The sequence below is a fragment of the Homo sapiens genome, chromosome 22 (genome assembly GCF_000001405.40).
Source record: "Homo sapiens chromosome 22, GRCh38.p14 Primary Assembly".
NCBI lineage: Eukaryota > Metazoa > Chordata > Mammalia > Primates > Hominidae > Homo > Homo sapiens.
Window position 1 is genome coordinate 11,864,462 of NC_000022.11, and position 27,389 is coordinate 11,891,850.

The following is a 27,389-nucleotide window of genomic DNA, read 5'->3' on the forward strand; positions in this document are numbered from 1 at the left end:
CGATCTTGGTTAACTGCAACCTCTGCTTTCTAGGCTCAAGCGATTCTCCTGCCTCAGCCTCCCAGGTAGCTGAAATTACAGGTGCCAGCTACCATGCCCAGCTAATTTTTGTATTTTTATTAGAGATGAGGTTTTGCCATGTTGGCCAGGCTGGTCTTGAACTCCTGACCTCAGGTGATCCACCCACCTTTGCCTCCCAAAGTGCTGAGATTACAGGCATGAGCCACTGAGCCCAGCTGAATATTTTTTTTTAAATCAATAACCTTATTTCTTAGAGTAGTTTTAGGTTCACAGCAAAATTGAGAGGAAGGTACAGAGATTTCTCATATATCCCATGCCTCCCACACACGCATAGCCTCCCCCATTATTAGTATTTTCCACCAGAGAGTGGTCCATTTGTTACAACTGATGAACTTACATTGACACATTATAATCATTTGAAGTTCATAGTTTACATCAGGCCTCACTCTAGATGCTGTACATTCTGTGAATTTGGACAAATGTATAATGACATGACATGTATCTATTACTGTAATATTATCGACAGAACAGTTTCACCGCCCTAAAAATTCTCTGTGCTATGCCTGTTCATCTCTCCCTTTCTCCCTAGCAACTCGTGACAACCATTGATGTTTACTCTGTCTTCATAGTTTTACTTTTTTCAGAAGAGTCATATAGTTGGAATAAGAAGAGTGGATATCTTTTTGAGTAGTTAAAAAATTAAAGCTCCATGGCAGTTGAATGTAGTCATTTAAGATGTTCTTTGTCCTTTTGTTTTTCTTTTGCTTCTTTATCATTGTAAAGAATGATGTATTCTGATGAGATATGATTTACATACTTAGAAAACATGATTTGTATAGATATGTGGCACATAATAGAAAGGGTTGAGGAAAAGGACACCACGCCGTACTACACAGCACAACCTGGAGCATCTTGCTCTGTGAGGTGGGTCCAGATAGACTCTTTAGCAATGGAAGGGGACAAGTGCAAAGGGTTGTGCTTTATAAAACTGGAATCACAAAGTCTTTCATACTTACCTTCGGTTGGAAATAAGACCAGGCAGTGAATGCTATTAGGTAAATACATAAGTTCCTCACTTATGAGGAACTTCCTTTGAGGGATGAGGTTGACAACAGCCTGTATTATGATGACATGACTCACCTACAACTAGATTCTGTCATGAGAGATGACAAGGGAGTTTTGCTTTATGCGAGGTGAAAAAAATTTTTTCTCCTACTAGGGAGATGGGCAAGCATTAGAACATTCTGGTAGAAAAAGGGCATTGATAGTTTTCTTTCTATATATTTTTTCACATCAGATAATATTGCATGGCAGCCTGCCATGCCTCCCCAGTGTTTATTCAGCTTCCCTCTGAATGTGGATAAGCTCTTAAAGGAGTGATCTTTCCAGTGGTTCTTTCTGTGGGAGGTAAAATGGCAGGTGAATTTGGGCCTTGTTATACGTAGGCCAGAGCAAATAGCTACAACTAAGGAAACCACCCAGCACCTTACCCAGAAGAGTATTAGCCAGAGTAACACACTGATCTCTCTTGAGATCTTCTCCACTGGTGGCTGGAAAGTCTTTGCAAGGATTCCTGTTTCTGGTCTGATTCCTATGTTTTTTTGGTTTCTGGCGATAGCATGTTTTATTCTAAACTAAACAGTTTGAACTGAAGAGCTAGAGAGGCTGTGTTGTGTTATAACAAAATAAGTGCAGTAACTACACCTTAACTGTGGGAGATACATTCCAAGACCCCCAGTGTATGCATGAAACCATGAATAGTACTGAATCACAAGCTGTTTTTCCCTATACATGCATATCTATGACAAAGTTTAATTTATAAATTAAATTAAATCTGATGTTATCTGTAGATAGGGTGTGAGAATTGAATTGTGTCATCAGCAGGAATGATTGCTTGTTTGTTGGTGGGGAAAAACTCTCCACACATTTGGTCACAGAAGCCTTCTTTGTTGATGTTTGTTGCTGTGGTGTGACAGCAGAGAAAAACGTGTCAAGTATGTCTTTCTGCGCATATAGTGGATAAGGGGTACTAGTGTATACTCTGTTGTAATGGCCCCTCATATTTTGGTCCAGAAATCATGCTCTTTGACACTGTTGACTCATCACACCTGTTCTGCTAACAATACCATTTTTACTCAATCTCATAGGCTTTGGCTAGGATGACTTGTATACTGCAGTTCACTTGTAGATACCAAATTTTAATAAATTTATTCTTCTTTGCATCTAATAAACACAGAGGGAAGAGTTCTTACTGCATTAATTACCTACCAATACGTTTAATGAATGTTAATTCTAATAAGATCCCAGGCATGCTCCCAAAGGAATGCTTTGTAACAAAGCGTCAGTCTTATGCTTTAAAAAACCAAACCAAACCAAAACAACAACAACAACAACAACAACAAAAAACAGGATCTAAAGCATACACACAAGTGTGCACAATTTTTTTATGAAGGTAGAGTCTTACTATGTTTCCCAAGCTGGTCTCAAACTTCTGGGCTCCTCAAGTGATCCTCCTGCCTCATCCTCCCAAGTAGTTTGGATTAGAGGCATGCATCACTGTGCATTCTTATGATTTTAATATTCTGTACATTTATTATTGATTTAAAATGCATTTTACCTTTTTCTTTAATAGATGTTGGAATTTCTGATGAATCTGCAGTCAGGTAAGATTTCATAGATTTAAAAAATTATGTTAACTAAGAAAATATAGATGGAAGAAACTAATATCTGTTGAGTGTTGTATTCTGGGCTAGACATCCTAATATGTTCTATGCACTTATCATCTCATAAAGCCATCATAACTTCTGTGTTCCTATAACCTACTGTTAAATAAACAACTATGGATTAGAGCTGATTAATTGCCTCATGATCCCATAGTTAACAAAGTAGCTGGCCTACAGTTTGACCATCAGCCTGCCTGCCTTCCAAATCCTTTCTCTTGCTCCTCAGCATAGATTGATAGATATCTGTACAGCTCTTGGATCAAAGTATAGGTCTGAATCAGATCAATCGGATTCATTAATTTGATTAACTTCTAAATTAATGAGAGTTTAAATACCTTGAACTCTCATTTAAGTTTATTGTTAGAATGTGGTTAGTCCTAATAAATTTGACGATTTCAGTGGTAACCAGTATCTTATTTTTACCTTCAAAGGCTCTAGGGCAGATCTGACTTAGCTTTGGCCATAGGACTGTAAGTTTTACCAAAGCAAGTTTAGGCAAGTCTTAGAGACAAATTATTTGACTTCCCAGTTTGGTTTTCCATTTAGGCAAGTATTTCTGCTTACTTCCATAATACATTTTTTAGTCTTGTTGCTTTTTCCATGACTTTTATATAATCTTGTCTTCATTTTTTAAAACTTTCTTCTCTGTTTTTCTGGGTGTTTCTTTTGTTCTATTATTTTTTCAAACTCTGCTGCCTATGTATTCCAAGTTTTTCTATAGACAGAATCAAGAGGACATAGAATTACAGAATTTTAAGGAATCTTGGAATGAATTAAAATACCTTCTAGTATTTTTATCTGCATTGAACATTCTGGTCAAGTGATTCTCTAGATAGAGAATGTGAGGCTCAAAGAGATTAGGAAGCTTTTTTTTTTAGACATAGGAATTGGCAGAAATGAGATTTGAACTCATGGTAAAGCCCAGTACTCTTGCTTCTTTTTATGTCCTATTGGCGTGTGTTTTAATAATACAAACGGGAGTAAGCCTGTGGATAGAATGAGAATGGAATTAGCTGGTGAACCCAATGGAAGTAGATAAGAATGGAATGAGCAGGGGAAGTCCAAGTTTGAAGATAAACAACACTGGATTGGATAGGAGTACGGACTCTTCTACAAGAGATCAAAGTATTGGGGTTTATGACAAGTTTGATAAAGATAAATTATAAAATGAAGGACACAAGATGTTGGGAATTATCTACAAAGACACATTAAAATAGAAGGTTCAAGGGAGCTCTAAAAATTTTGCTGCTTTTTTTTTTTTTTTAAATCAAGGACTGACAAACTTGAAGATTTTTACTGAAAGATGCCAAAACATTTTGAGACACTGGGAAGAATGTCTACAGCAGATAGAAATGTGGTGTCATCTACTTCCATCCTGACTTACAAAGGGGTGGCTTAGAGCCCCTGGAGTACTAAGGGGCTGGAAATTGCTGAACTACATAGATGTGTGGCACAGGGCAGGTGTCTCCTCACCTCTGCCTCTTTTCACAGTTCACTGATGTCCTTCCCATGTCCATGTGGGCTGGGTCAGGGGCATGATTAGCTGGCAAATCAGTCATGGAGTTCAGTTGGGTAGTTGGTAGTGTGTATAGCTGGTGGCAGGTGATGGAGACTCCAGTTAGCTTGTTTTTCAGGAGCAGGGATATACAGAGCTCCTACTCCTGGTCATTTGAGACCATTCTTTCAGGAATCTGTGCTTTCATACACTGAAGATTTGAAGATTGGAGACTTCTGTGGAACCCTGCAGAAGTAGAATCTGGAAGTGGGTGTCCATAGTAAGAAATATACTTAGATAGTACTTAGGGAAATAGAGGTACAACTATCATGACTCTGTTTCTTTTCTCGCAGTCTCTCTCCTTGGGTGTCTGAGTGCCTATGAAAATTTTTAAGGGCTTGCTAGTTTATGTGGACCTGAATAAGGTAGGACCTATAGAGTGAAAATAATGGGATTTTATAATTGTTAATATTTTAATCTTTCTGGGAAAAGTATTCTCAATAAGAACATACACCTTTGCTATTTGACTTCTGTACATTTAGCTTTCATACATTTCAAATATTGTGGGGGCTTTCCTGTACCAATTTAGGGTAAAGGAAAGCAATAGGACCTTCCTAAGTTGGATCCAGGCTGAGGAATCAAGACTACCATTTTGAAGTGATGTAGATTAGTCTTTTATCCAGAGACAGATCATGGAAAAGAGACAGTGGATCTTTCTACCTTGTTTTAGGTCATCAGTTTTATTCCAGTTTAGGGAACAAAATTTATGTCATCCATTAATTGAATTTTAAGTTCAGCTTCAGGACAGATAATTTGTGAGGGCACATTATTGTCAGGCTCTGCCAATATATTGACTGTCACTATTTGTTATAAACCTCAAGGTTAGTTTTCATTGAATATTTTATAGATTTAGACAGGTGGAGGCAGAAATAGGTAACTAAAATCTATTTTTAGAACAGAGGACATATTTTAATTATATCAAGAATCATAATTTAATATATAGATCACTGACCTTTCCCCAGATTATGTTTTCCTTTTTTTGAGGGGGAAGCTGGATATAAACTGGCAGTTAAAAAAATTGTAAAGAAATCAACTTGCTCATTTTCATTGTGTATTTTTGCTCTCAAGCATTTTGCATGAACTGTGTGTGGATTCATTGCCTACATTGGATGATGAAGTCTTGAGTGTTGCTACTAAGGTAAAGTGGTCTCTTGTAAAATTAATCTTCTCACTCTGAGTGTAGTTTTGCATAGCATTTACTTTTCAAATTTAGCAGTGGTTTACCTATCATTGTTTTATGGTGGTAATGGAAAGCTGGTCAGAGAAAAACATACCCATGGCTAGTTGATTCAAAAAATGTGTTTAACTTTGGTAACTAATAAAGATTGGTAAGTACTGTGACAGGGTGGGAGCTGAAAAATAAATGAACTGGAAAATAAGTAGTCACAGGAAAATCACATTAGGAAATGCTTTCTCCAATAGAGGAAATATGAAATTTGGTTAAACTTCATTTGGATAAATACTAATACTTTGACTTTTAAATCACACAAGTGTGACTTTCTTAATATTTATTCCTGTATAAATCTTCAGTGGATCAAATTGTTTGCAGTAATCATGGAATCCTCCTGGTAATTTTTAGTGGCAGAAATGTTCAGCACATAGCATATAGGTTTTGTTCTTGGAAACTTATCATTTTGGTGTCATATAGTTTTTAGGAGAGATTGTTTCTCTACTTATATTATTGGTTCTGTAGTGAGACTAAAAAAGTATTACAAATTATAGAAAAATAGCTGAGTTTGGTGGTGTACACCTGTAGTCCCTGCTACTTGGGAGTTTGAGACAGTAAGATTGCTTGAACACAGGAGCTTGAGAACAGCCTGGGCAACATTGTATCTGATTTAAAAATATAAATTGTGGAAATGTAGAAATTTAAATTTATGTTCTCAAGATTTGTATTGCAAAGGGGTTTTTATGTGATTTATTAGTTGTCCATGAAGAGTTTATATAAAACACTTCATCTAATTGAATAACATGTATTTTCCTGCAAATAACCAGTTCTAGAAGCAGAGACTCTTAATACCAATATGGTAAGTCTTTATCATCATAATTTTGTCATTGTAGTTTATTTAAAATATTTACTTGGCCAGGCGTGGTGGCTCACACCTGTAATCCCAGCACTTTTGGAGGCCGAGGTGGGTAGATCACCTGAGGTCAGGAGTTCCAGATCAGCCTGGCCAACATGGTGAAACCCTGTCTCTAAATAAAAAAAAAAAAGCACAAAAATTATCCAGGCATGATAGTGCATGCCTGTAATCCCAGTTGCTCAGGAGACCAAGGCAGGAGAATCGCTTGAACCCAGGAGGCAAAGATTGCAGTGAGCCAAGATCGCACCATTGCACTGTAGGCTGGTTGACAGAGCAAGACTACATCTTAAAAAATAAAATAAAATAAAATAACCGCTCAAAGTCCTTATATCATATTCTGAAAGTTTGAATGTCAGAAGGTTTTCTATTTAGTTTTTTAAATGATCACTGGAAGCTCCTGCATACCATAAGCTACTGGAGGTCAGTAAACATATTTGTGTGTATCCTGGAGTACCTAGAATACAGTCTTCCATGTAAGAAGCATTTTACTTGTTGTTTTTTGAGATGGGGTTTCACTCTGTCACCCAGGCTGGAGGGCACTGGTGAGATCTTGGCTCACTCCGATCTCCATTTCCTAGGCTCAGGTGATCCTCACACCTCAGCCATCCAAGTAGTTGAAACAATAGAGCTATGTCACCATAAACCTGTGTCACCATGCTGGGCTGAGTTTTGTAGAGATAGGGTTTTGCCTTGTTGCCCAGGCTCTTCTTTAACTGTTGGGCTCAAGTGTTCTGCTCGCCTCAGCCTCTCAAAGTGCTGCGGTTACAGACATGAGACATTCAGCCTTAATAGTTGTTTAATCTGAATAAATAAACAAATGAATTTTTATATAATGGAATGTTATAAGTAATATAATAAACCTAATGTATCTAATCATTAAATATTGTATTTAAAATATTGCTTACATTGTATTATTTTTTAATATTTAAGGGTGTATAAGTTTTGACATGTTATGTTGAGAAATTATGCCATAATTAAAAAGGAAATAAAAGAGAAATAGGTCATCGGTAGCAAAGAGGGTTACAATATATTTTCTAGTATCATTCAACTGGAATCTTAACATTGAGATTTTAGATTAACATTTCTTAAGCTTTTTATTAGACCCAACTCATGTTCCATTAAATATACCGTTTCAAGCCATACATTACTCTTTATTATTATTATTATACTTTAAGTTCTAGGGTACATGTGCACAACGTGCAGGTTTGTTAAATATGTATACATGTGCCATGTTGGTGTGCTGCACCCATTAACTCGTCATTTATATTAGGTATATCTCCTAATGCTATTCCTCCCCTCTCCCCCCACCCCATGACAGGCCCTGGTGTGTGATGTTCCCCATCCTGTGTCCAAGTCTTCTCATTGTTCAGTTCCCACCTATGAGTGAGAACATGTGGTGTTTGGTTTTCTGTCCTTGCAACAGTTTGCTCAGAATGATGGTTTCCAGCTTCATCCATGTCCCTACAAAGGACATGAACTCATCATTTTTTATGCTGCATAGTATTCCATGGTGTGTAAGTGCCACATTTTCTTAATCCAGTCTATCATTGATGGGCATATGGGTTGGTTCCAAGTCTTTGCTATTGTGAATAGTGCCACAATAAACATACATGTGCATGTGTCTTTATAGCAGCATGATTTATAATCCTTTGCATATATATCCAGTAATGGGATGGCTGGATCAAATGGTATTTCTAATTCTTGATCCTTGAGGAATCTCCACACTGTCTTCCACAATGGTTGAACTAGTTTACAGTCCCACCAACAGTGTAAAAGTGTTCCTATTTCTCCACATCCTCTCCAGCACCTGTTGTTTCCTGACTTTTTAATGATTGCCATTCTAACTGGTGTGAAATGATATCTCATAGTGGTTTCGATTTGCATTTCTCTGATGGCCAGTGATGATGAGCATTTTTTCATGTGTCTGCCATACATTACTCTTTAGAATTCTGGTGACCAATTCTTTTTCTGGGTGGAAAGTTGATGGAAAGTTCCAGTTTTCTCTCTCTGTTATAATAATGTTCTTTCAGGTAATGGCAGATGACCATATTTAGCTAATTGAATGTCTTATAGTAAGAAACACTATCACAGAAGTACTTACAAAAAACTAATTGCAGCATAAATATTAATTAGTATTATCAGAGTTATGAAAGACCGAAGGCTCTGTTATAGATCTATTTCCTCAAGTACTTTATTGTACTTCATGTTTTTCATTTTCTTTCTTGGCTTAAGCTCATATTTCATTGACTAATTAGGCTTGTTTTTTGTTTGTATCTCTCTTTGTTCTCACATTTTAAATTGAAATTTTTGGGGAGGCAGGGTCTTGCTCTGTTGTCCATGCTGCAGCGTAGTTGCATGATCTTGGCTCACTGCTGTATCCACCTCTCAGGCTCAAGTGATCCTCCCACATCAGCTTCCCAAGCAGCTGGGACTACAGGCACACACCATCATGCCTGACTCCTTTTGGTATTTTTTGAGTAGAGATGTGTTCTCATTATGTTGCCCAGGCTGGTCTCCAACTCCTGAACTCAAGCAATCCACCCACCTTGGCCTTGCAAAGGGCTGAGATTACAGGTGTGAGCCACCATGCCTGGGCAACATTGAGATTGATTTAAAGAAATTGATTAGGGATGGGTGTGGTGGTGCAAACTGCTTATCTCAACATTTTGGGAGGCAGAAGTGGAAGATTTGCTTGAGCCCAGGAGCTTGAGACCAGCCTGGGAGGTATAATGAGGCCTTGTCTCTACAAAGATAACAATAAAAACATTAGCATGACATGATGGTATGCACCTGTAGTTCCAGTTATTCAGGAAGTTGAGGTGGGAAGATTGCTTGAGGTCAGGAGTTTGAGACCACAGTGAGCCATAATCAGGCCCCTGCATTCTAGCCCTGGGTTGACAGAGTGAGACCCAGTTTCATAAAAAGAGATTGATAAGAAACTCTTGATGCAACTCATTTTAATTTTAAATGGAAACTAATTCTTGCTATTACCTTAGCAGTATGTCCCGGAGAAAGTGTCAGAGCCTTTACGTGGACCTTCTCATGAAAAAGGAAACAGAATAGTCAATGGAAAAGGAAAAGGTGAGAACCGTATTTTATTTAAAAAGTCATTTGATGGAGACCAGGCGCGGTGGCTCACGCCTGTAATTCCAGCACTTTGGGAGCCTGAGGTGGGCGGGTAATGAGGTCAGGAGATCAAGACCATCCTGGCTAACATGGTGAAACCCCATCTCTACTAAAAACACAAAAAATTAGCCGGGCATGGTGGTGGGTGCCTGTAGTCCCAGCAACTCGGGAGGCTGAGGCAGGAGGATGGTGTGAACCTGGGAGGTGGAGCTTGCAGTGAGCGGAGATCGTGCCACTGCACTCCAGCCTGGGTGACAGAGTGAGACTCCATCTCAAAAAAAAAAAAAGGCATTGATGGAATGTTTCTTTTAAAATATGAGCACTAATAGAGTTTAATAGCTAAAGAAAATGTCCTATTAACTGTATCATAAGTAAAAGAGAAATGAAATGGTGATAAGTGGTGTCTCTAACCAAGGGTCAGCAGTTGATTCTATTGGAAGTACCACTAAAGGAGCTGAGTTATGAGTTCCATTTTAACATACTCTTAAGACCTGAGGCAAGTCAGGAGAGAGGGAAGAGGAAATGAATAAAAGAGAAAGAAAGAATGAGGAGGGCAGAGTGTACATGGAATAAATAAAAAAAGTAGATGTACGTAATGGAGGGTAGTAAAGTCAAATTGATCTGTAGAAGAAGGAAGAACAGGGTGTTAGAAATAGGAAGGAAGATAAAGTGAGCTTCCAGTACCAAAATGTGTCATATAATTACAGTAACATTTTCCTTCTCTTGCTGTCATTGTCGCTACTGGGGAGGCATTAAGGATTGAGGTACTTTACCATGCAGACCTGTGTTTTATCTACCATAGATGAACATCACCGTAAATGGTCAGCCATGTATGGCTATAATTTGTTTTTATAGAAAATGTTGTAACTTCATAGGATAGTATCATATTAACATAATTGAAAAGAATAGTGTTGGGTGATTTATTGGGAAGAAATTAATTAGAGAAGCTTTGCCTGATTAAAAGTTCATTAGAAACATTATGGCTTATAACGTAGTATTAAATTCAGGGACATAATAGGAAAGAAGTTGAGGCTAGGCCAAAAAGGCCAATTAGGGTAAACCAATATGGAAGCACACCAGTGTAGAACAGGGCATTCAAATTGTCATGAATTCGTTGAGGAGATTCTGGAAAGTGCACATTCTGACTCAGCAGGTATTGGAGTCTGCATTTCTCATGAGCACTCAGGTGATGTTTGTGCTGGTCCTTGGACACAGCTCTGAATAGCAAGGGAATAGCCTTCCTTTAGAGAAATCTGGAAAAAGAACCACTGGAGAGCAATTTAAAAAATAACAGAATCCAGGGAAAGCTTTAATTTCCTTTTATTTCTGAGCATGATTCTAGCCACAGGGGAAGGAAAATGAGATGAAAAAAGTGAGATTACAGGTGTATACTACTGCTGAATACAGATGAAAAAAGTGGTCACAATCATCCATAAAAAGCAGTTAGGAAGGGAAGCATCAGGATGACAGTTCTGATAATCATTTTTTCAAAGGAAGAGGGATGGTGAAAGGACACAAAAGGAGGAAAGAAAGACATTTGCTGGGGTCTTGGGAGTTAAAGCCAAGTAAACTTGAGACAACTCACTTCCAGTTGCTTCAGCATATGCCCAGTCTCACAAAAGAGGTTATTGCTGTGGAGAGTACTGGAGACAGGAGGGAGTGCTAGAGTTGGGGTAAACCACAGCAGCTCATTTCACTTGATAACTGTCAGGCCTCAGGGAGAGAAGTTTCACTGACATGAGTGAATAAGATATGATTAAGTTGCATTGATTCTCTCAGGTTTGATTTGACCCTCTGTTTAATGGTCCCTTTTCTCCTCATCAGTCCACGTGTTCACGGTTATATCAATGCTTTTCTATTTTAAGTATAGGCATTTGAAACATAATCTCACTACTGAAATGTAAACTGTGCATTTTGGGAATCCTATATTCCTATTTTCCTCATTGTGTTTCTGTCATGTTGCTGTCCTAGGCAATGAAAAGAAGAAGCCAAGAAGTAATTATTTTTATAGCCTTAAGTAATTATTTTTATAGCCAGGCCTGAGAATTCAGCCCAACAGTAACACTGCATGAATGTTTGGTTGGCCCTGTCATACTTACATATAATTGATGACATATCCCCTTTGTTTTGTAGGGCCTCCTGCAAAACATCCTTCCTTGAAGGTAATTAATTATGTATATTTTTGAATCACTAACTCTATGTTGTATAAAATATATGTGATTTATGAATCGTTTTCTTTTAAAACCCATTCAGCCTAGCACTGAAGTGGAAGATCCTGCTGTGAAAGGAGCAGTACAAAGAAAGAATGTACAGACATTGAGAGCAGGTACATTTAATGGAATACTGGAAATAAAGTACATTCAATGATTGGATGTACTCATATTATTCTTATTCCTAATTCTATTTGTTCAATATTGAACAGAAGGCATTGACATAAATGTTATTGTTGGTATCCATATTTGAATAAAAACAAATTTAGAAGCATAAAAAAGATTTTAAAAATGTAAGCTTTAAGTCAGATGTTTCTGTTTTAATGTTTTGAATAGCATGAAGTTTTCAGTATAAAATTTTTATACTTGTCAGGGATTCAAAGCAGTGAATTTTGAGACTCTTAAGATATTTCCAGTGAGTTAAGTGCTAGTTGGAGTTCTGATCTTTACCTAGAGGAAAGCTTTACTTATTAAAGTGTTAGTTTCTGTTTTAACTTCAGAGGCTTGCTGCTAGTGTTATTACACTGATGATCTGAAGCCTATCAGATGTTCTAATGAGCAAGACTGTGTGTGTAGGTGTATATATAGATGTGTGTATGTGTACGCTTGTGGCATCTTTGACTATTACAAATGACGAAAGTAATGATTCATTTATGACTGGTAGACACAGTCCTTTAAAATGGTGATTTTGAGCCTTTTTGGTGTTAAAGTTTTTAAAACATGATTGCATAGAGGCTACCAACATCATAAGTTGGTTGTTTTTCATTTCAATGCCCTTTTGAAATCTTTAACTACATTGTGATGCTCAGAAATAATATGCAGAATTTTTGTGTCCTAAAATGGTATGTGAGTGGTTATATACTTTATATACCTTTCTGCCACTTTCTTTGGTGTGTTTTTTATTATATTTTCCACTTGTACCCACATTGGTGTGATTATCTCTGGTTTAATTCATTTTACACTGTTCATTGTATTCCCTCATACCACTTTACCACATTTAGTTAGACTCTCCTGTTGCTGATAAATGAAGAAATAAAAAGAAAAATAATGTCAGATTAAGAGGGCTTTTCTTTAATCGGTTTGTATCTATTAGCATTTACTATATGAGAGTTTAAACCTGAAAAGTTCAGAATACAAGCATGCACCACCATATTTTATTAATGCCCTTAGAACTATGACTCATGAGCCTTTAGCCTATGAAGTTAGGACAATTCATTTCTCTGAAGAAGAATGCTGGGCTGTTCTCAGAAAAGAAAACTGGAAATAGCAAATGATATTGTCTTATTTTACCTCTTGGACATCCTTGAATGAAACTGCTACTAAAGGGATACTCGGATCAAAATTCAGATCTAATGTTTTGAACAGTATAGTTTGTGAATGTCCAGTGATCATAAGCCCTTGATAGGGAAATGACCTTTTGAGTTTCACTTTTGCATTTTTTGCTCTTTTGGTTGACTTGTCTTGAAAGCTTAAATTCGACTATTTTATTTTTACAGAAACCAGGAATATAACTTTTAAAATATATGTCTGTCCTGTCTCACGGTGTTGTGTACTCTTCAGATGTTGTATGAACATAGACTTATATGGGAACAATTAGGTTTTTTGTTTGTTTGTTTGTGTTTTTGAGACAGAGTCTTGCTCTGTCACCAAGGCTGGAGTGCAGTGGCTCAGTCTTGGCTCATTACCACCTCTGCCTCTCGGGTTCAAGCAATTCTCCTGCCTCAGCCCCTCGAGTAGCTGATACTACATGCACGTGCTACCATACCCTGCTAATTTTTCTATTTTAAGTAGAGATGGGGTTTCACCAGGTTGGCCAGGCTGCTCTTGAACTCCTGACCTCAGGTGATCTGCCCACCTCGGCTTGCCAATGTGCTGGGATTACAGGTGGGAGCCACTGTGCCAGCTACAAATACGATTTTTAAGGCTATTATATTTTATACAATTCGTTGGTCTATGTGAATTCTGAAGGTATTCATGCATTGAGGGAAGATTATCTCAGTTTAATGAAAGCAGTTTTTAATTTAACGTATATTCATTAAAATTTTTTTTGAAGTTTTTGTCTCTAGTACACAGAAACACACAATAATGTCATGGGTATTTGACCTTAATGTGTTTATGCACAAACTTAGTTATTCAAATACTTTCTTATCCCTGAAGAATCTTAATTACTAATAAACAAATTTCTCATGGAAAACAACACATATAACAGAGATGGTTGAGTGATTGAAAGTAAACTGTAGTAAATACCAGAAGCTTAGAACAAGTTAAGTAAACTTGTCTGAGTTAATAGCAATTACAAGACTTTTAAAATACATTAGACCACGGGGGAGTAGTGCATTTGTGGGGTAGAGGACAACATGGTACTGCTTCAGTGAAGAAAGAACTTTTACACCTTGTTACAATTTGTATTATTATTTACATTCTAATAAATAAAAACTTTATTTTCAGATATTTTACATCATGTTTCTACTAGTTGAACCATCAATAGTAAGACTTTTCAAAGATTTGGGAAGTTGTGAGTTGATGATAAATATCTGTATCACCATCAGTGATCAAAAATCAGACAGCAACTACCACAGATTTTGGACACGCGAACTTCATAGTTAAAGAAAGGATTAATCTTGGAGCTGTGTTTCTATCAAGGAATTACACTCTTCATTACCTGTGTGAATCGCAGTTATTAGAGTAGAAAGAGAGCAAAGAAGGGAAAGAATCATAGAAAATTTTATTCTAGATTACCTCGTTTGGCTTCATGCTACCATAGTTCTGACTTTTAAAAAGTCATTTTGTGGTCAAATGTACTTTGTGTTTACTCCCCTTATGCAGCCTACAACCAAACAGAATGGTTCTTAGCAAGGCATTTTTATTCTTCCCTTAAGGAAAGCAACATATAAATAACAAAGAGAATGAGAAGAAAGAGTGATTTCATTGAGGTTGGTATTTAACATAAATTTGAGTGCAGGTACCATGATTATATTTAGAATTTTGTGGCTGGATGGGAAAACCAGCTAGATGTCTATAGATTTCCTACTCAAACACAATGTGACTTTGTTTTACTTTTACGTCTCTAATTTAGCAATTATTAGGTACAACTGTATGCAGTGTCACTAAAAATACCTCCCAAAACCAAATATTAAATAATGTCTATGGCTTTCTGTTTTATAGGGTTGATTTTCCCAATATTAATGGGAACCACTGAGCATCTGCCTTGTGGTGTCTCCTCAGCTGTATTCACATATTCCATCACCTTTTCTTAATGGATAATCATGCACTATGAGTAAGGGTTTTCAGAAAAGCTGTGTCATTTAAAGATAACACAGGAGCATCAAATTTAATTCTGCTATGACGCCTGGTCTACTGATTAACTGCAGCTAATATGAGGTCTACTTCACATCCAAGTTAAATTCAGGGCCCTTAATCAGTCATATGATGAGGTCAACAGTAATAAATTATGCAATATTTTTTCACCCACCCCTATAGTTTTAATTTCTTTTTCCCCTTATGTCTGTGTTTAACATTTTGCTTTGCAAAACATGATGATAATCTTCTAGAGTAGTGAGGACAAGCTATAAATCCAAAGTTTCTTACCTATGCAAATGACTTGTTTGCTCTATTTTCTCATGAGCTTGGTAGATCCAGGAAACAGAACTTTTGAAACAAAATCCCCATATGTTGCTGGGTGCGGTGGCTAGTGCCTGTAATCCCAGCACTTTGGGAGGCTGATGCGGGCAGATAACCTGAGGTTGGGAGTTTGAGACCAGCCTGACTAACATGGAGAAACCCATCTCTACTAAAAACACAAAATTAGCTGTTCATGGTGGCACATGCCTGTAATTCCAGCTACTTGGGAGGCTGAGGCAGGAGAATCGCTTGAACCCAGGAGGCAGAGGTTGCCATGAGCTGAGATCACACCACTGCACTTCAGACTGGGCAGGAAGAGTGAAATTCCATCTCAAAAAACAAAAACAACCACAACCACAACCACAACAACCACCACAAAACCCAAATGCATTTCCTTGGCACAGTAAAACTTAAACAGAAAAAGGGTAAAGTAAATACAAGTAACTGAAAGAGTTTATGTATATTATTTTACTTCTCATTTGATAAAATTTGTAAAGTAATGAGCAGAGTGTATTTCTCCAGGGACCCAGATATATACATTTATTTATTCAATAGAAATTCATTCTTATAATGGCCACTGATACCTATATCCTAAATATTTCTGAAAACATCTCCTCAGGCCTGCATCATCTTTGCAACATTGCCTTATATTTTATCTTTGTTCATTGATTTATATACCTCAGAATTTTATGCTCCTCACAGTATTTAGAGTGAATTATCCCTAATGCAAATAGATCCGTGAACCACTCCTGAATACCTAATGTCCAAGCATCTTAAAGGTTTATATAAGGATTTCAGAAACTGACTTCTGGGTTGGGCACGGTGGCTCATGTCTGTGATCCCAGCACTTTGGGAGGCTGAGGCAAGTGGATCATTTGAGGTCAGGAGTTCAAGACCCGCCTGGCCGACAAGGTGAAACCCCATCTCTAATAAAATACAAAAATTAGCAGGTGGTAGTGGCACGCACCTGTAATTTCAGCCACTCAGGAGGCTGAGGCAGGAGAATTACTTGAACCTGGGAGGCCGGGTTGCAGTGAGCTGAGATCATGTCACTGCCCTCCAGTCTGGGAGACAGAGTATAACCTTGTCCCAAAAAAGAAAAGAAAAGGAAACTGATTTCTGCCCAAATCTCCATCTGTATCCCTTTCCCCATCTGCCTTTTTCTCTGGAATTACTGAGCTGCTGGTAATGGCCCCCTCACCATTCCTCTTCTGCAGAGAAATACATACTCTCTTGGAGGCTTCTCTTCCTCTCTTGTTGCTGCCTGGCATGTGCTCACCCTTTCCTGCCCTCTGCCTCGCTTAATCTGGCTAACCTCACTCTCTAAGTCTCAGCTCATGGATGATCTTTAGGAAAGCCATCCCTGACAGCTTCTATTTTCCTTCCTTATTCCCCAGTGCCTAACACTTAGCAGGAACTCAATAAGTAATTATTTAGCAAAATTAAGACTGTTTATACAAAGATGATTCAAAAGATTGTCCTCTACAGTCTAGCAGCAAAGGGGGTCAACATGTGAAGACATGATGTGCAGGTCAGGTGGTAAAGTGACACTAGAAAAATTGACAAGGTACTAAGGGATCCCAACGAAGCAGACACCTGTGTGTGTGGAGAAAGATAGCTAGAATCAAGGAAGATTTCACATAGCATTCTGAGCCTTTTTCTTTTCCTCTTTTTGGAGACAAGTTCTTACTCTATCACCCAGGATTGGAGTGCAATGGCATGATTGAGACTCACTGAAACCTCAGACTCCTAGGCTCGAGGGATCTTCTCATCTAAGCTTCTTGAGTAGCGGGGACAACAGGAACATATCACCATACCTGTCTAATTTTTTGTAGAGTCAAGGTTACCTATGGTTCCCAGGCTGGTCTTAAACTCTTGGCCTTGAGCAATTCTCCCATTTTGGCCTTCCAAAGTGCTGGGATTACAGATGTGAGCTATTATGCCCAGCCTACTTTCTGAGTCTTAAAAGATGAAAATAAATTTTTCAGAATAGCAGGGGAAAACATTTGTGATGTAAAAAATGGGGTGCACACTAATTGAGGTATAAAGAACAATAATCTTGCAAATTATTAGTAACTGCCAACTCAATTAGAGTCTTGTTAAAAAGATACTGTTATGAAGTATAGCAAAGCATTGCATTGTATATTTTGACTGTATTTCAAATTTCTGTTTTGTTTCCAACAGTTTTGTTGACTTATGTTGGGTGGAACAATTTGTGAGTGACCCTGAGATTTTGCATGGCTTGAATCTGGTGATATCTGGTGTCTCCCCAAGTGGTTTGTTGAAGTTTTGGATAATTAGAAGTATTTCTTACAGAAGTAAATATTTCAGTAAACATTGTTTCATTCAAACTCTCAAAATATAAAATACAAAGAAATGTTATTCTCTATTTATTTTTATAAAGATTATAGTCTTTATCTAACTCTTCTTAGTTCATTTGAACTAAATCAATGAATTTGTCAACAGAACAAACCTTACCAGTGGCTTTAGAGGAAGAGCAAGAAAGGTGTGAAAGAAGTGAAAAGAAGCAATCACAGGTATATGAAAATTTAAGTTCTTGTTTAATATTAGGTTTTTTTTTGCTTTAGTAACAAAGCATAGTACAAATGACATGACCTTTCAGACTATACCTTTAGAATCCAATAGATCATAATTTTATATTTAATTTTTAAAACATCTTAACCAGTTATGAAACTTAAGATATTCTTACTATCTCTAAGTAACTATTAGTTATTCTAGTAATTCTTAGTATCTCTAGTAACTCATAGCTGTCTTTATCCTTGGAATTGAGGCAAGAAATTTTCAGAATTATCTTGCTGTTTTATTTATATAACCTTACTCATAATACACAAGGTAACATGAAGTATTGGGTCATATTGCTGAGGAATAGAAATTATGAACAGTTTAACAACAATGGCCACTGAGTTAAACTAGTGTTAAAGGAGTCATCATTGCCAGTGCTTCAAATGTTGCAGTTTTATATTGCTGGTCACCAGTGCCGAGGTTAAAGATTTATTCTGTTTTATGGTCACCAGTTGACTTCTGTGTCTGTGTTCAGGGAGTGAATGGGGTCATAAAAGTCAATGCAGTTGCCTATTAAGAGAATCCTACCTTGCAGAATGGGACCTTTGGTGTCAGGGTGTGAACAATAACTTTATTTCAACATAAATACATAGTAAGCATTACCAAAATTTAAAAAATCCAAACCCTATCACTACTGGAACTTAAAATATATTAGAAGTGGATATAAGCAGAAATTCTATCTAGATACATAACACTATCATAGTATATCATTTGAATTAGAATTTAAAATTTTGCTTCTCTTTCTTATTGGTGTTCAGTTTAGCTCTTAATAATTTAGTGTTTGCCTAGTGCTCTAGTTAATCTTCAGAAATAAACATGCACTGTAGGGGCTCACTCTTTCTGGTATGCTGAGGTAAAGTCTTTGTAAGAGAGGAAGCTTTTATAATACTACCTATCATCTTTGAATTCATTTCTGGTAGATTTTACACAAATGCATTAAGTTTAGTCCAAACAGACACTGAGAGTTCAGCTTGCTGGTTCATGTTTCTGTCCTATGTTAAGCCAAGGCAAATTATTTTTCACTTTTTAGTTACAATCCCATAATTTAAGAGTAGCAACACATAGATTAAGTTTCACAGTTAAATTTTAATTATTTTCTAATATTTCTTTGTTTATACTTGATTAAAGCTAATTTTACAACATGCACTCTGACAGAAAAGACATCTGAGAAACAAAACAAGCAAATTTGTTTTCCATTTTGCACCTGCCCCCCACCAAAAAAAGTCTCAAGAACCAGAACTGGGTAAGAACAGTGATAAAGGGAATCAATCTATATATTCATGACTTTCTTTAAAATTCATTACAAACAAGTTCAAGCTGAATATTGGTAAAAGTTCTGAAAACTCCAAAATTACTGCTTGCCCTGAGGAAGAGCTCCTACATGGTAACTCTAAAGAGGGATGAACAAAAAAGGAGTGCCCTCTAGTCTGATGAATCATGTCCCTGATTGTGAGGAGAAAAATGTATCAGGAGGGTCTAGCTCTGTGGCAGTCCAGGCAGCGCCTGAACAGAGGAAGCCCATGTCAAATGTCTTTTTATTCCATTCACACTCCAGGTCCCTGAAATACACTTACCAGTCATCTTCTAGGCTTCATTTAAATTAAAATAAATCAGACTATAAAAATGATAACAAACCAGACACACAGCTTGTTTCTAACACAGATGATGGAAATTTTTGTTATGATATAGAAACTGAAAAAGTAAGGAACCCAGTAATTATGATTGAAATGAAAGATGATTAAGAGTTTGACATGCAAATGGAAAAATATATAAATCCAAATACCACTAATTGGAAATTAGGCATTGGTCTCAGTCTAGAGATCCAGAAAGTCTTTTTGATTTGTGGTTTACCCACCCCAAAGAAATGAAGCATATGATTCAGATAGAAAGTCACAGTATTTCTGCTGCTACAGATACTTATAAAAACAGAAAACCAACACAGTGCTTATTCCAGAAGCCGCTGTATGACAATCCCAGTGTTAGTAACTACAAAACCATGAATCTTGAATTATAAAATGCGGGTTATTCTTTGCCACATAGTGAGAGAACATCAAAAATATAGCTAGAAGACTTACAGCAAGATATTCCGAGGTCACTAACATAGCACATGTATACATATGTAACAAACCTGCACAATGTGCACATGTACCAGAACTTAAAGTATAATAATAGTAAAAAGAATAAGGTAGGCATGTTACAAGTAGAGTTCCTGGCTTTGGAGAAAGAGAAAGTCCAACTTCAAAAAGACAGAGGTTCACTTGCTGCTTCTTTTTTCTCTTTGTCAATTATTTGATTTAGTCAAATTTTCTATTCAAGAAAATCTCATGTGTACAGTTACAGCAGGGTTTTCTAAATGTGTAATTATGTGTCAAAGTAGATTAGTCCTGCTATCTAAACAACGGTTCTGGAGAATGTTCTCATAATGTTTCTTCATTAATCAACCTAAGTCTCACTCTCAGTCTTCCAAGTGGCATATGAGCTGGGAAACTAATTCAGCCATATACCATGTGACCTTCTGAACCAGATCAACATAAAGAAATTGCTAAAGAAATAAGCTTTAGATTCTAGATTCTTTTTTCTGTATTCATTTAGAGATGAATTACATTTATTTAATGATAGAATGGGAATACAATGGGAGGGAAGCAATGACTGAGATGAGCCACAAAAACACGTCTAGCCTTGAGAGTTGCAATGAATATTCCCAGCCAAATGAGTCTGTTTAATGTGTTTTCATGCACGCCAGTTTATCTGCTTAGCTTAAACTGTTTGAATTTATAGTTCCATCATGGTTATTTCCAATATTTTGAAAACAAATATATACTTCCACATATTTTAAAAAATCACCACTCCAATATTTCTGTTGAATCAGACCTTACATTATGTTGTTTAATAAAGTATGGTAAGTTTTGGCATGTATGATTTTTATCATGTAAGAAAGAAGCATAATTTCTTAGCTAAAAATTTAGCCTTTGACTCTTTAGTAGAAAGTTGAGTTCTGTACATTGTGTTCTAAAGATAGACAAAAATCTAGAGATTTTCTTCTTTCAAAGTAAAAGCAGATGAGGCCTTTTTCCACGCCTTTTTCCACCCTCTGAGGTGTTAAATTGCTTTGCTCAAGTTAGACTTTTAATATATCTGACTAATTTGATAAATTTATCTGGTAATTTATGTAATTGAGCAATATGGAATTGTATCATGTTATTTGGTGCCATGAAATGCTAGGGAATGCCACCTCAAGAGCTCTGGATGAAACATTTCATATGTCTTGGTTGGTTTGACTCCTATTTTCAGTAGATAATGGGGCTAAAGTAGTTAGCTGTACCGTATGTTTTCCACCTATAAACGTTTGTGGTAATTGAATGTGAAATCTGGGAAGCATCTCGTTTTCCAGAATTCTGCATTAGAAACTCAGCAGTTTCACTCTGCTTCTTGTGTTGTGGCAAACATTGGTTCCCATAGTTCAGGGAGAACTTTCACTTTTTTGATATCCCAGGATCCAAAAAAAAAAAAAAAAAAAAAAAGAGATAAAAGGCAGTGGGGAAAAGAATAGCTCAGTGCAGAAAAGGGAAAACTTCTTTACTCTTCCTGAAGGCCTACAAGGTCACATCCTCTTAATCTGGCTATTTCATGTAAAATCCAGGTGGCAATGACAGGAGATATATGTTATGCCTGTGTCTTTTTATTTCTCTGTTTCTGCCAGTCAGATAGCATAAACATTTATATCAGATAGCAAAGAGTGGATGCGAATAAAAGCACAAAATGGAGAAGAGTCCTTTTTGAAATTTTGGAAAATTATTCCATTCACTCAAACAGAAATGAGCAGACTTGACAAAAATTTCAATGATAAAATGATAAGTGTCTTATAATTATTATGTATAATGATAAAATTAAAGTAAGCACAAAATACTTTTATCATTAAAATGGTGATAGTTAACCTGAATCAAGTGAAAAAATCAGGGAAAAAGTTTTTTTATTGAATAAAATAATAATTATTATTCATATTACTTTTACTAAAGGTCAAAGAAGGAAATAATACAAACAAAAGTGAAAAAAATACAACTATCAGAAAATGTATGTCATAGTACATCTTCTGCTGCTGCTGACAGATTAACCAAACAAAGAAAGGTTGGGAAAACGTATCCTCGGCAATTTCCCAAGAAACTGAAGGAAGAGCATGATAGGTAAGTAAGCCTATAGCAGTGTGTTTTTGTTTGTTTGTTTGTTTGTTTGTTTTTCTGAGATGGAGTTTCTCTCTTGTTGCCCAAGCTGGAGTGCAATGGTGTGTTCTCACCTCACTGCAACCTATGCATACTGGGTTCAAGTGATTCTCCTGACTCAGCCTCCCTAGTAGCTGAGATTACAGACATGTGCCACCATGCCCAACTAATTTTTTGTATTTTTAGTAGAAATGAGGTTTCACCATGTTATCCAGGCTTGTCTCGAACTCCTGACCTCCGGTGTTCTGCCCACCTCGGCCTCCCAAAGTGCTGGGTTTACAGGTGTGAGCCATCGTGCCTGGCCACCTATAGCAGTATTTCTCAGCAGATAATTGTCATTGTGCTATAAACTAATTCAAAATTGGACTAATGTTCCCTATGATTAACAAGTTTTATAGTTTTACCAGGGATATTTAGCCCTGCCTGGTAATCAGAAAAATGCAAATTAACATAAAATAAGATATATTTTGTAAAGTCATGCTGATATTGAAAAAGTAATTACTACCATTGAAAATGTGAGGAAAAAGGCATTCTCATACACTGTTGGTATATGAAATTGGTAAATTATTTCTGAAGGGTAACTTAGTGCTGTGTATCAAAATTTCAAATAACCTGACATCCCTTTAACTCAACAACTCCACCTCTGGGACTAGATTTCACAGGAAAACATAACTTGTGTAAACATACACACACTTATTAAGGGCATTAATTATATATTACACATAATGAACAATAGCTTAATAAATATATAAAATATATGTAATAAGAAGGTGAATTGGAAGTATTAAGAAAGAATTATAAAAAGTATGGGGTGACAGATGTTAGACTCTTTAGCCTAGTTTTAGATGACAATCATCTGCAGATGTAGTTTGTGTGAGAGACATCTTACTCTGTAAATCATTTGGAGAGACACCTACAATATTTCATAGAGATGAAAATTTATTTCTAGTGAACTTATACGCTTGTCAATAAATAGTAACTTTAAAAATTTAGTTGATTGTAAATGATCTTTTCTAATCGGGGAGTAATTATGACTGTGTGATTTGAAAAGGTAATTTTGAACTTCTAACTATACTGAATTATTTCCAGTATCCTTTTTTATAATACATACTAGAGTGACTAGTAACAAAAACTTTAGCAGAATATTCTTTCCTTACTACTTTTCAAGTATATACATTCGTTTGAAGATGTTGAAGTGAGAAATTAAATATCTGAGAACTACAAAGGAAAAATAATCCAGAACATAGAAATTTTATTAGGATGATAAAGAGCATCTGCAGAGGTAGATCACAGGATGATCTCTTTGTTTTCCAACAAAATGAATTTTAAGATAAATGTCTTTATCTGCAGATGCATCTTAAGACAAGAAAGTGAAGAAAAAACAAATGTTAATATGCTGTACAAAAAAATAGAGAAGAATTAGAAAGGAAAGAGAAACAATATAAGAAAGAAGTTGAAGCAAAACAACTTGAACCAACTGTTCAATCACTAGAGATGAAACTGAAGACTACAAGAAATACTCCAAATCAGATAAATCAATCTTTGGTAAAAATTCTATATTTTAAACTTTATTTTATCAATGTTACTTATAATATCCTCTTGATTTAATATATAATATTTTGGTATAAAACAAACCAGAAATGTTATCTCATTTTCAAAAAATGAATGATGACACTTACAGGTACAATTATTAATATTTATTATAAATCTTGGCATCCACATAGGATATTATTTTATTACAAAGAGCTTTTGAAAACAATAATATGCCATAATATATACTTAGTGATAACCTATTGATAAAGATTTTTTTCCCAGTAAAATTGTCCCTTGTACTTCCCGCTATTTCATATTGATTACTGTACCTAATACTATAAAGAGGAAACAAATTATTGCAATCACAAATAATCTCATGATATTCTAAGAAGAGCTCTATAAATTTTATCTTATTTACCATTGGTGTTTTGAAATAAAAGTTTTCTTTCGTATTGATACATTTACACCACAGAAGTAACTGTGATCTGTCAGAGAACTAGAAGTAGAGTCAGAAGTCCTGGGGAAAATCCTGTAGCTTGCTTATATTTTTAACATTTCTTTTTCAAAATTGTGGTAACTAGAGGAGTTCATCAATGAATGTATATAGGAGTGACTAGTATAATGTCTAGATTTATGATTTAGTAAATGTAATTCTTACAACTGACTATAAAAGTGTTAAAAGAGTCAAATTGAAATAGAATGTTATCAGTGAAACAGAACTGTAGTAACTCTGGGAAATTTTATCTGTCCAAATACGTGTGAAATAAGGTTCTTACTATAGGGTGGTGTATGGGTTAGATATCAAAGTGTAAATGCAATTTTTTGATATATTTTAATTTAGTCAAATTTGTTAATGCTTTAATTTATGCTTCTGAGTTTGTTGTAATTCAGGGAAAGGCTTTTCCAATTCTGAAATTCTTAAAAATTCTCTAGTGTGCGTGTGTGTGTGTGTGTGTTTACTTTTATAAATTCATTGACTTTAAATAAATTTCTGAACTTTTTGGAACTTATGCTCTATAAGGTTCAAAGTTTTGCTTCAACTTTTTCTCCGGTTGGATATCCACTTACAGTAACCTTTTTGTATATGGATGTGCAGGTTATTCTTTAACTTCAGAGGTAATCATGTTATGTTATTTTATTGCATACTAGCTAAAACTTTCTTTTGTTTTATTTAGGATTTTCATAATCACGAAGAAATGAAAGATCTGATGGATGAAAATTGCATTTTGAAGACAGATATTGCTATACTCAGACAGGAAATATGCACAATGAAAAATGACAACCTGGAAAAAGAAAATAAATATCTTAAGGACGTTAAAATTGTTAAAAAAACAAATGCTGCCCTTGAAAACTATATAAAACTCAATGAGGAATTGATAACAAAAACAGCATTCCGGTATCAACAAGAGCTTAATGATCTCAAAGCTGAGAATACAAGGCTCAATTCCGAACTGTTGAAGGAAGAAGAAAGCAACAAAAGACTGGAAGCTGAAATTGAATCATCAGTCTACACTGACTGCTGCTATAAGTAAACACAGTGAAAGTGTGAAAACAGAAAGAAACCTAAAACTTGCATTAGAGTGAACACAAGACGTTTCCGTACAAGTAAAAATGAGTTCTGATATTTCCGAAGTAGAAGATAAGAATGAATTTCTTACTGAACAACTTTCTAAAACGCAAATTAAATTCAATACCTTAAAAGATAAGTTCCATAAGAAAAGAGATACTCTCAGAAAAAAGTCATTGGCTTTAGAAACTCTCCAAACGACCTAAGACAAACACAGCAGCAAATAAAGGAAATGAAAGAGATGTATGAAAATGCAGAAGCTAAAGTGAATAATTCCACTGGAAAGTGGAGCTGTGTAGAAGAGCGGATATGTCAACTCCAACATGAAAATCCGTGCATTGAACAGCAACTAGATGATGTTCATCAGAAAGAGGATCATAAAGAGATAGTAACTAATATCCAAAGAGGCTTTATTGAGAGTGGAAAGAAAGACCTCATGCTAGAAGAGAAAAATAAGAAACTAATGAATGAATGTGATCATTTAAAAGAAAGTCTCTTTCAATATGAGAGAGAGAAAGCAGAAAGAGTAGTAAGTATCAAGGAAGATAAATATTTTCAAACTTTTAGAAAGAAAATTTAAACATTTGGTTCTGGATACATGTTGAACTTAGTTGAATATAAAAATCAATGGATAAAAGGTGTGTTTACCATACTGTATAATTCCATTTACATGAAGCATCCAGAAAAGATAAACGTATAGGGACAAAAAGTAGACTACTGTTTGCAAAGGGCTGGGGCTGAAAGCTGGTAGTGACTGCTAATGGGCGTGAGGGATCTTGCAGTGATGGAAATGCTGTAAAGTTGGATTGTAGAGATGGCTGCACAACTCAGTAAATGGACTAAAAAATCTTTTAACTTTAAGTTAAAACAGATACATTCTATAGTATGTAAATTATATTTCAACAAAGCTGTTTTAATAAAAAAAAGGAAAACCGTGTTTACTCTACCAGCTTAGAAACGTGCCTCATTTCTAGGAAATAAAAGGTAGAGGTGAGAGATGATTTACTTTGAGAAAAGACATTGTGTCACCTATGAAATTTTATTAGGGACAGAGTCATATTTTAAGGTAGATAGTTCTGTGCTGCTGAAATAATAATTTTAATGACTTTATGTTGCCACATGTTAAGACCATAATGTAAGTATAAACGGAAATGTTTACACCTGAAATGAGTATTTTCAAATTAAAATTTAATTGATTTTCTTTGACACTTAATTCTAGATTTCCCAGATGAACTGAAGTGTATTGCTGTGTCTTGTAATACCTTGCTTTAAGTAGCTTTTTATGTATTTTAGTTGGTATATCTTTGTTATTAATCATATTAATTTAACAAATCTGAAAATATGTCAAATTACATATTTTTATGACTATGTAATGTTTCAAAGGCACCTACTTGTTATAAAATCATAATTTAGGATACATGTGGTAATATTTAGCAAAACTATATTTGGTTTAGTCTTCCCACTGGTATTTATAGTTTACTTTGAATATTTATATTAATAATTAGCTCCTAATTTTTATTTCAAGGCTCAATGACTATCATTGGAATATAATTTTGTTCAGTACAAAGATACTTGTAGCTGCCTGTGATTTATGAGTAAGGCATTAGATCCCTATTTTCAGACTGAGGGGTGGCAGGCTTCACGTACAGTGGGAATGGAGTAATTACAGGAGGGAGTTGTAGGAGCTTTGAAGTCAGAGAGAGAGGTAGAGACCTGTTTACCTAGGACCTCAAAGGCCATTGGAATTTTACCTTTATTCTGAGATAGGAATCTGTTGGAAGGATTTGAACAGGTGATTGAATATGTCAGGAACTTTGAGGTTGAGTTGAGCTTCTAAGATGATTGAATGGTGGGATGAATCTGTTATGTAAGTAAGAGAATACCAACTTGGCAGGAAGAGAATATATTGTGCATCCCTCACTGAATTCAGTAATAAATAAAAATGTGTACATGTGATTAAAAGAAGGTGAATTGATATGTGTGGTGATAATTTTCAAAGTAGGTATGTTAGAGTTAAATATTATTAACATAATTTAATAATAAGGCAATTTATAAAATCAGTACCAAAATATTTTCTCAGGTGGTTGTGAGACAACTTCAACAAGAAGCGGCTGACAGCCTAAAAAAATTAACTATGTTAGAGTCTCCA

General features: G+C 35.7%; 1 pseudogene; it reads left to right on the plus strand.

Annotated features, from left to right (window-relative positions):
• Positions 1-1,835: 1,835 nt before the first annotated feature.
• On the plus strand, positions 1,836-26,363 carry LOC101928041 (putative ankyrin repeat domain-containing protein 20A2; annotated as a pseudogene).
• Positions 26,364-27,389: the final 1,026 nt, after the last annotated feature.